The sequence below is a fragment of the Homo sapiens genome, chromosome 5 (assembly GCF_000001405.40).
Source record: "Homo sapiens chromosome 5, GRCh38.p14 Primary Assembly".
Classification (NCBI taxonomy): Eukaryota; Metazoa; Chordata; class Mammalia; order Primates; family Hominidae; genus Homo; species Homo sapiens.
Window position 1 is genome coordinate 122477655 of NC_000005.10, and position 9816 is coordinate 122487470.

The following is a 9816-nucleotide window of genomic DNA, read 5'->3' on the forward strand; positions in this document are numbered from 1 at the left end:
GGAGCAAGCAGGCTGGGGAGGAAGGGAGAGGTCAGATGGGTCTGTAGAAAAGGAAGATTAGAAAGGCTCAGCGACGCTTGGGGTTGGTACTGAGGGGACAGGCGGGAGGGAAAGAAGGAAGATTTGGGACGAGTTGCACTGGTCACAGAGACTAGGAAGGGACTGATGTGTAAAAGAATGCCTGGACGTCAGGCACCTCAGACTGTTTGCCTATTTTACGACAAGAATTATTTAGATTTTGCAGGATGGAAAAATTCAAAGTGCCATTTTCTGGCTATTTGGAACTACTGTCGAGTTTGTATTGGGGTCAAGCGGCATTGCAGAAGAAAATAAGGCATTTAGGTTTTAGGTCAGGTGTGAGTTGGAGAGGTTTTAAGTTTTTGAGAACACAGGCCAAGGGAGAAGAAGGAGGAATGGAAGGTGGAAGGTTGCCCATAGTGAAGGAGGCAAACCCTGAGAAAAGAGAGCATAGAGACACGGAGGAGGGGAGTGGGGTTCTTGCCCTCCAGAAAAGCAGAGAGGGGGTTGGGACACGGAAATAAGGGATTGGGGCACAGAGATAAGAGGTCAGGGTGCAGAAATAAGCGATTGGGGGGTTCTTGCCCCCTAGGAAAGCGGGACTTGCCGCTAAGGGTGAAGGACCAAGGCAGGCGTCCCTGCGTGGTCTGACACCCTTGAAACATGGCTGAATGATCAGAGAGGCGTCCCTGCAATGATTAAACACCAAGGGAAGGTTGCCTTCCCAGTCCGTGACCGGCGCCGGAGTTTTGGGTTCACGGATAAAACATGTCTCTTTTGTCTCTACCAGAAAATGAAAGGAATTGAAATTAAGAGAAGGGAGAGATTGAAGTGTGGCGCCAAGATTGAAAGGAGAAAGAAGTTGAGGGATAGCGAGGGAGGTTGGAGAAGAGAGTAAAAAGAGGCCGCTTACCGGATTTGAAATTGGTGAGATGTTTCTTGGGCTGGTCGGTCTGAGGACCTGAGGCCATAGGTGGATGTTTCTCACGGAGCAAAGAGCAGGAGGACAGGGGATTGATCTCCCAAGGGAGGTCCCCCGATCCGAGTCACGGCACCAAATTTCATGCGCGTCCATGTGAAGAGACCACCAAACAGGCTTTGTGTGAGCAATAAAGCTGTTTATTTCACCTGGGTGCAGGTGGGCTGAGTCCGAAAAGAGAGTCAGCCCAGGTAGTCTTAATGACAAATTCATATCCAAAAACCAGCACTATCAGACCACAAGTTACAGATATCTTTGAATGAATTTAGTTAACCATTAATTAAGTTTAGCACACACTAAACCTAGTTTAGATTCACCTCCCCTCCTCCAAGTCCCCACAAAGATCAATTACACAGGAGTTACCTGGTTTATTTCCATATTAATGCTTGATATCTAATATGGCTTGTTAACATAGCTTACCATATTTTCTGGGCATAAGTGTTTATGGGAAAAACTTCAGATTTATACAAGGTTTTGGACATGTGACTCATATAAACTGGAATAACAGCATTGTTGCTAAAACTTGCCGCTTGCTTTGAAGCCTCATCATACTGTTCTTGGGAAACCATTAAGCAAAATGCCCTGAAGGGTAGGAGAAATTGCATTGAGCAATAAAATGTCAACAAACTGCAGAATTTGAACATCAAGCACTTTCATCTAAATATGCCCTTCTCTCCTTTCACTTGGCAGGGGTTTGGTTTTTGAAAAGTAATAAACTCTAGCACTCTAGTTGACCTGGGATGTGTTTAAGAAATCAAATCTTAGAGCCAGAAGCAGTATAACCTTTAATGTGGACTCCCCACCTCGGAAAAACCATAGAATGAGAAATATAAACAGAAAAGTAGAACAGAAATATATATCTCAATTGTCTAGATATTTAATTTTTTTAAAGAGGGTACACACCAAAACCCTAGGCCAGAAGAAACAATCTTAAATCTGTTTAAACAGGTGCTCAGTTCTTACTATCATCAACAGCAAATGACTATAATCATAGCACAAAATAAGAAGTATATGAACAAGGAAAACCTATTCATAAGTCTGCATAACTTTTATAAACCTGGGATGGACACAGCTCAATCTCAGAGCAGGTTTGCAGTCAAGAAACAGCTGCCCACAGCCAAAAGTAATTTCAAAACAACTGAAACCCTTCACTTATGTTTCTTAAGAACCATAAAGGGGATCTACATTCAAAGACCATACCAATATTTATTAAAACCCCTTTCGTCTTCTACCCTTCCCCCGCAAACTTGCTGCCAATCCAACACATTACAATTCATGATTCCCCATAACTTGTCTCAACACTTTATTCTATTTTCTGTCTGTCTTTACCCTCTCTTTTCTATATCACTTTATTATTCAGACTGACCTTACCTCTCTCCTAGCAGAAAAGAATCCCTACTTACAGGAAGAAAAAGGATCTAGAAATTGATCTGGTAAATAGAGAATTCCCTTAGGCTTGGTAGGGTAGAGGAATAGATGGAAAACAACCCACGTGATGAATATGATCCCAACTTATATATTTAACTGTATCATGAATTAAAAACTCCTGAAGGGTAAGAGCTGTAACTTCAGTGTACCCTAAAACTGAGACCTAAAAAATCTGGGAGACATTATATGGATACATGCTGTTTGCATAGTTCTAGTGATAATGAATGTTTGCCTTGAATGACTCATGTTGATTAAAGTACAGAGAAGGACATCTCTGTTTCGTACCTCAAAAGAGTCAAGTTTCCTTTTGGAACTATAAATCTAATAGGTTACCAAATGGAGGTCTAGAATTTCTTGGAGAAGGAAGGGGCAGGAGCCATAACAGAATGCCAGTCATGGACAATGGGAAATGTTCATACCTGCATGTAGAGAACATTGTCTCATGGTTTGGAATATTAAATCAGGGATTGCATATACATGACTAGCATTCATCTTCTAATAAGTTCTATCCTGCAAAATTGGGGATTGTGAATCCAAATGCTTAGAAGAGTCAGGCTGTGTCCTAATTGAGTGACATTGGCAGACTGATAACTATGGCAATATGAGAGAACATATCCTATCTAAGCAGGAGTAATTTTTCTATTTCTACTAATTCTTATCATGTAGGAATGCTGGCTCAGTATTGTCAGATTCTCAGTGTTCCAAGATAGCCTGAAAATCCAAATGCTATATGTGATATTCCTCAAATTTTAGGTGTTGGCAGTTTAATATTTTTTATCACTATGACGACCAAATAGCCACACCTGTGGGCTGATGCAGCTCACAGACTACGTCACTCCTGGAAAAAAATAATAATAATCAACCTTCAAGAAGCAATGAATATAATATATAAATATTTTGTCTCTACTTGATTCAATATGAATATTCAATAGAAAGAATTTTCTGCAAAAACCATTCACCAACAAATAAAAAGGCTTAGAAGAAATCAAACAAGTGGCAACTTTGCAAAAAAATGAATTCAACTAAACATATAAAAAATGTAGTCTCAGGCCGAGAAAAAATCAGAATGAAATAGGAAACTATCTTGAAAGAGGATACCCTTACCCAACAATTCCACTTATTAGAAACCATACAAAAAAATTTTAATTGCACAAAGATTAATATATAAATATATTCATTGCAACAATTTGTAACTGAAAAATTAGAAACTACCAAGTTAATAGGTGCTTGGTTTAAATAAATTTTGTATGACATATCTACAATGTGCAAAACTATACACTCATTAAAAATGATGCTGCAGAAAATTTATTTAGTGGAAAGATTTTCTTGATATTATTAAAAACACAGGTAATAAATACAAAGAAAGTATGATTTCATTTTCTTACATGTTCGTATCTTTGTGTGCATATGTCTGGGTCAAAGAAGAAATTACAAAGGAAATTTAAAGATAGTTTGAATGAATGACAGTGAAAAAATAACAAAACTTGTGGCATGCACCTAAAGCAGTGCTTAGTAGTAAATTTTTAGATTTTAATGCTTACACTAGAAAACAAGTAACATTTAAAATAATTATATGTTTCCACATTAAGAAGCTATAAAAAGAAAAGCAGGCCAGGCATGGTGGCTTATGCCTGTAATCCCAGCACTTTGAAAGCTGAGCAGGGTGGATCATGAGGTCACGAGGTTGAGACCATCCTGGCTAACACAGTGAAACCTCTTCTTTACTAAAAATACAAAAAAATTAGCCAGGCATGGTGGCAGGCGCCTGTAGTCCCAGCTACTTGGGAGGCTGAGGCAGGAGAATGGCATGAACCTGGGAGGTGGAGCTTGCAGTGAGCTGAGATCATGCCACTGCACTCCAGCCTGGGCAACAGAGTGAGACTCTGTCAAAAAAAAAAAAGAAAATTAAACTCAAAGTAGAATAAAAAATGTAGCAAAAATAGGAGCAGAAATTAATGAAAAATAAAACAAACAATAGAGAAAAATTCATGAAAACAAAAGTTAATTATTTGAAAAGATCTATAAAGTTGATAAACCCCAGGATGACCAAGAAAAAGGAAAAAGAAAGACCATAAAACACTAATATCAGAAATGAAATTGTCATTATTACTGTAAACTCTATGGCCAATTTAAAAGATAATAAGAATATTATGAACAATTCTATGATAGTAAGTTTGACAAAATAGAAGAAATAGACAAATTCCATAAAAGATATAAATTATCAAAATTGACACAAGAAATAAAAATCTGAAAAGTCCTATATATAGCAGAGTAGTACATCTAATAGATTGAATGTGTGATTTAAAAAAAAAAAAAAAAAACTTCCTTCGAAGAAAACCTCCAGTCAAGATGGCTTTACTAGTGAACTCTGTCAAACATTTAAGGAAGAAATAATACCAATCCCACACAAACTCAGAAAATAGAATAGCAGGGAATATTTTTTGACTCATTACCTTGATATTAAAACCAGACAAATACATTGAAGGAAAAGAAAATTACAGATAAGTATGCCTTGTGAAAGTAGAAGCAAAAAAGTCTTTAATAAAACTTTAGCGAACTAAAGCTAGCAATATATATAGATTATAATACATCATGACCATGTGGGGTTTATTCCAGGAATAAAAGGTTGATTTGGTAAAACAATCAATGTAATGCATCATAATGAGACAATAAGAGAAAACCATATATGAATAGATATGTAAAAGCATTTAAGAAAACTTAATACACATTTATGAATGAAAACTTTCAGCCAACTAGGAAAAAAAGTAACATTCTTAACATGATAGAAGGCAGCTAAGAAAGGCCTATAGTTAACATTCTATATTAATAGTGAAAGAATTACTGCCTTCACTAAGATTAAAATTGTCTTTATTCACAAATGGCATAATTGTGTACACAGAAAATCCTAAGGAATCTACAAAATGAAGTACTAGAACTAATTGAAAATTTTGCAAGGTTTCAGTATACAAGGTGAGTAAAAATAAATTGCTTTTCTATATATTAGCAATGAATAATTGGAAAGTAAAATTTTAGAAAAATTTTGCAATTGCATCAGAAAGCCAAACAACCTAGAAGCAAGTTAACAAAACGTGTGTAAGACTTATACACTGAAAACTACAAAATATTGCTGAGAAAAGTTGAAGATGACCTGAAAAGTAGAGAAATAAACTGTGTATATGAATTGAAAAATTCAATATAGTTATGAAGTCAATTGTCCCCAAATTGATCTGTAACTTCAATAACAGTCAAATGCATGGCAGGATTTTATTTTTTGAGAAATTGGTATGCTAATTCTAAAATGTGCATAGAAATGCAAAGGACAGAGAAAAGCCAAAATATGGAAAAGATCAAAGTTAGATTTACACCTTTTTTTTTTTTTTTTTTTTTTTTTTTTTGAGATGGAGTCTAGCTCTGTCGCCCAGTCTGGAGTGCAGTGGTGCCATCTCGGCTCACTGCAAGGTCCGCCTCCCGGGTTCACACCATTCTCCTGCCTCAGCCTCCCGAGTAGCTGGGACTACAGGCACCCACCCGCCACCACGCCCGGCTAATTTTTTTTGTATTTTTAGTAGAGACGGGGTTTCACCGTGTTAGCCAGGATGGTCTTGATCTCCTAACCTCGTGATCCACCCACCTCGGCCTCCCAAAGTGCTGGGATTACAGGCATGAGCCACCGTGACTGGCCTAGATTTACACCTTTTAAGATTTGCTGCAAAACTAGAGAAATCAGACAGTTGTATGAATATAAGGATAGAGATATAAATCAATGGAATAGACAGTGCAAAAATTGACCCACACATATATGGTAAATTGATTTTTGACAAAGGTCCCAAGGTAATACATTTTCCCAAGTGGGAACAATGTAGCCTTTTTAACAAGGGGCCCTAGAACAACTGGACATCAGTGTGTGCATGATAGTTAATTTTATGTGTCAATTTGGCTGAGACATAGTGCTCAATTATTTGGTCATTATTCTAGATGTTTCTGTGAGGGTGTTAGTAAATGAGATTAACATTTAAAATGAGGAACTTGGGCTTTTTTAACTTTTATTTTAGGTTCAGGGGTACATGCGCAAGTTTGTTACATAGATATACTTGTGTCATGAGGGTTTTATGTACAGATTATTTCATCATCCAGGTACTAAGCCTAATACCCAACAGTTATTTTTTCTGCTTATCTCCCTCCTCCCACCCTCCACCCTCTGATAGGCCCCACTGTCTATTGTTCCCCTCTTTGTGTCCATGTTTTCTCATCATTTAGCTCCCACTTATAAGTGAGCACATGTGGTATTTGGTTTTCTGTTCCTGGGTTAGTTTGCTAAGGATAACGACCTCTAGCACCATCCATGTCCCTGCAAAAGACGTGATCTCATTGTTTTTTATGGCTGCACAGTATTCCATAGTGTATATGTACCACATTTTCTTTATTCAGTCTATCCTTTATGGGCATTTAGGTTGATTCCATGTCTTTGTTATTGTGAATAGTGCTGCAATAAACATACACATACATGTCTTTATGACAGAACTATTTATATTTCTTTGGGTATATACCCAGTAATGATAATGCTAGGTCAAGTGGTATTTCTGTTTTTAGCTCTTTAGGGAATTGCCACACTGCTGTCCACAATGAACTAATTTACACTCCCACCAACAGGGTATGTTTCCTTTTCTCCACAACCTCACCAGCACCTGTTATTTTTTGACTTTTTAGTAATAGCCATTCTGACTGGTATTGAGATGGTATCTCATTGTGGTTTTGATTTGTATTTCTCTAATGATCAGTGATATTAAGCTTTTTTCATATGTTTATTGGCCCCATGTATGTCTTCTTTTGAAAAGTGTTTGTTCATGTCCATTGCCCACTTTTTAATGGGGGTGTTTGTTTTTTTCTTGTAAATTTGTTTAAATTCCTTAAAGATGCTGAATATTAGAACTTTGTCAAATGCATAGTTTGCAAATATTTTTTCCTGTTCTGTAGGTTGTCTGTTTATGCTGTTGATAGTTTCTTTTGCTGTGCAGAAGCTCTTTAGCTTAATTAGATCCCATTTGTCAATTTTTGCTTTTTTTGCAATTGCTTTAGGCATCTTTGTCATGAAATCGTTGCCAGTTCTTATGTGTAGAATGGTATTGCCTGGGTTATCTTCCAGGGTTTTTACAGTTTCGGGTTTTACGCTTAAGTCTTTAATCCATCTTGAGTTGATTTTTGTACATGGTGTAAGAAAGAGATCCAGTTTCAATCTTCTTCATATGGTTAGCCAGTTATACCAGCATAAAACAGTGAACTTTGAGTAAAGCAGATTGCCCCACATAATATGGGTGGACCTCATCTAATCAGTATAAGTAGTTAATAGAACAAAGGTTGACTTCCCCTGAGCAAGAAGGAATTCTACTAGCAGATTGCCTTTGGACTTGAATTGCAACTCTTCCCTGATTCTCCAGCCTACTGCATCAGATTTAAGACTCACCAAGCCATTTTACTGTGTGAGCCAATTCCTTAAAATAAGTCAATCTCTCTCCCTCTCTCTCTTTCTGGTATATGCAATATAGATTATTCTCAAAAACATCACACTAAGCAAAAGGAGACTGATACAAAAGAATATACACTGTGTGATTCCATTATATAAATTTCAAGAAAAAATAAAACTATACTGAAAGAAAAAATAATAGTAGTTGTCTACTGTGTGGGTCAGGGTGATAGGTGGATTGACTGCAAAGTAGGATGTAACAACTTCTATGTGTGCTGGAAATATTCTATATCATGATTGGGGTGATTGTTACAGAGATATATATATATTTTCAAAACTCATCAAACTGTACAGTAAAACTGATGATTTAAAAATCATACCTCAATGAAGTCGATTTTTTTAAACATTTTCTAAAGAGTGTCCCACTGCTGCTCCACACTGTGTGAGACCTCCTGCACACTATAAGCCCCAAATGAAAGCTCATGCGAAGTTATGATTCTGAGGATCAGCACACACATCTCCCAGCCCTTGTGTGCTCCACCAGGAGAAGAACTTCCAGGCAGTGATCTCAGATCAGGATGCATATGACAATCACCTGGGGTGTTCATTAAAAATACAGATTCCGGCCGGGCACGGTGGCTGACGCCTGTAATCCCAGCACTTTGGGAGGCAGAGGCGGGCGGATCACGAGGTCAGGAGATCGAGACCATCTTGGCTAACACAGTGAAACCCCGTCTCTACTAAAAATACAAAAAATTAGCCAGGTGTAGTGGTGGGCGCCGGCAGTCCCAGCTACTCGGGAGGCTGAGGCAGGAGAATGGCGTGAACCTGGGAGGCGGAGCTTGCAGTGAGCGGAGATAGTGCCACTGCACTCCAGCCTGGGCGACAGAGCGAGACTCCGTCTCAAAAAAAAAAAAAAAAAAAAAAAAAAATACGGATTCCTGGGCCCTATCCCTAGAAATTTTGATCTTAGGTCTACTTTATTTATTTTATTTTATTTTTTGAGTCACTCTTATTCTGTTGCCCAGGCTGGAGTGCAGTGGTGCAATTTCGACTGACCTCCCAGATTCAAGCAATTCTCGTGCCTCAGCCTCCCGAGTAGCTGGGACTACAGGCATGTGCCACCACACCCGGTTAATTTTTATATTTTTAGCAGAGATGGGGTTTCATCATGTTGGCCAGACGAGTTTCAAACTCCTGACCTCAGGTGATCCACCCACCTTGGCCTCCCAATGTGCTGGGATTACAGGCCTGAGCCACCACGCCCGTCCAAGGTCTGCTTTAAATCCAAGGCAAAGGGCACACTGTCCTACTTTCATTGCTTGCATCCAACTGCACTATATTTAAAGTCACTGCTGCAAGGCTCTTTGCTGAAACTCAATTCTCCCTTGTGTCTGGGGCTGCCATTGGACACTTGCCCCACTGTTTAAAGAACTGCCTTTTTCAAATTTAAGCAGCTCAGAAGACAAATGATGTCACTCTTATCATTTATACACCAAATTATGAGGGCTCTGAGAAAAATGAACAGAAAGCCCCGTCTTTTTCTGGGGTTCTCTCCCCTTAGCAATCCCAGGAACCTCTAGGAAAGGTTACATAAATGCAGGAATCAGTCCTACTCATCACCACTGCTTGTCAGGGGAGTGGGAACCCAGACTTTCCCTTGAAATCCAAGATTAAGGATAAAATCCTTTAATGGCAAAAGTGAGAAGGAGGACTCTGCTCTGGTTCCAGGTCAAGGTGACGCTAAGTAACCTTACTATTTAACTAGTTTGTTAATTCATAGAGTTTGTTTTCTGAAGCCTATGCCACAAGACCATGAAAATTATGGTGACTAGGAAATCCCTTTGTTTGGTCTGATTAGAAAAATATTGAAGATTGTACATGAAGAACAGATGTATGTGAGACTCCTAGCATGGCCCTAGTAGAGGGC

General features: G+C 38.4%; 1 long non-coding RNA gene across 1 annotated transcript in view; it reads right to left on the reverse strand.

Annotated features, from left to right (window-relative positions):
• Window positions 1–1433, reverse strand: part of SNCAIP-AS3 (SNCAIP antisense RNA 3) — a 42591-nt gene extending 41158 nt beyond the window's left edge. The window contains exons 1-2 of the long non-coding RNA NR_051996.1: window positions 1361–1433; window positions 932–1161 (exon numbers count right to left, since the gene is read on the reverse strand). This is a non-coding gene — a long non-coding RNA (SNCAIP antisense RNA 3). The remainder of the gene's footprint in view (window positions 1–931; window positions 1162–1360) is intronic.
• Window positions 1434–9816: the final 8383 nt, after the last annotated feature.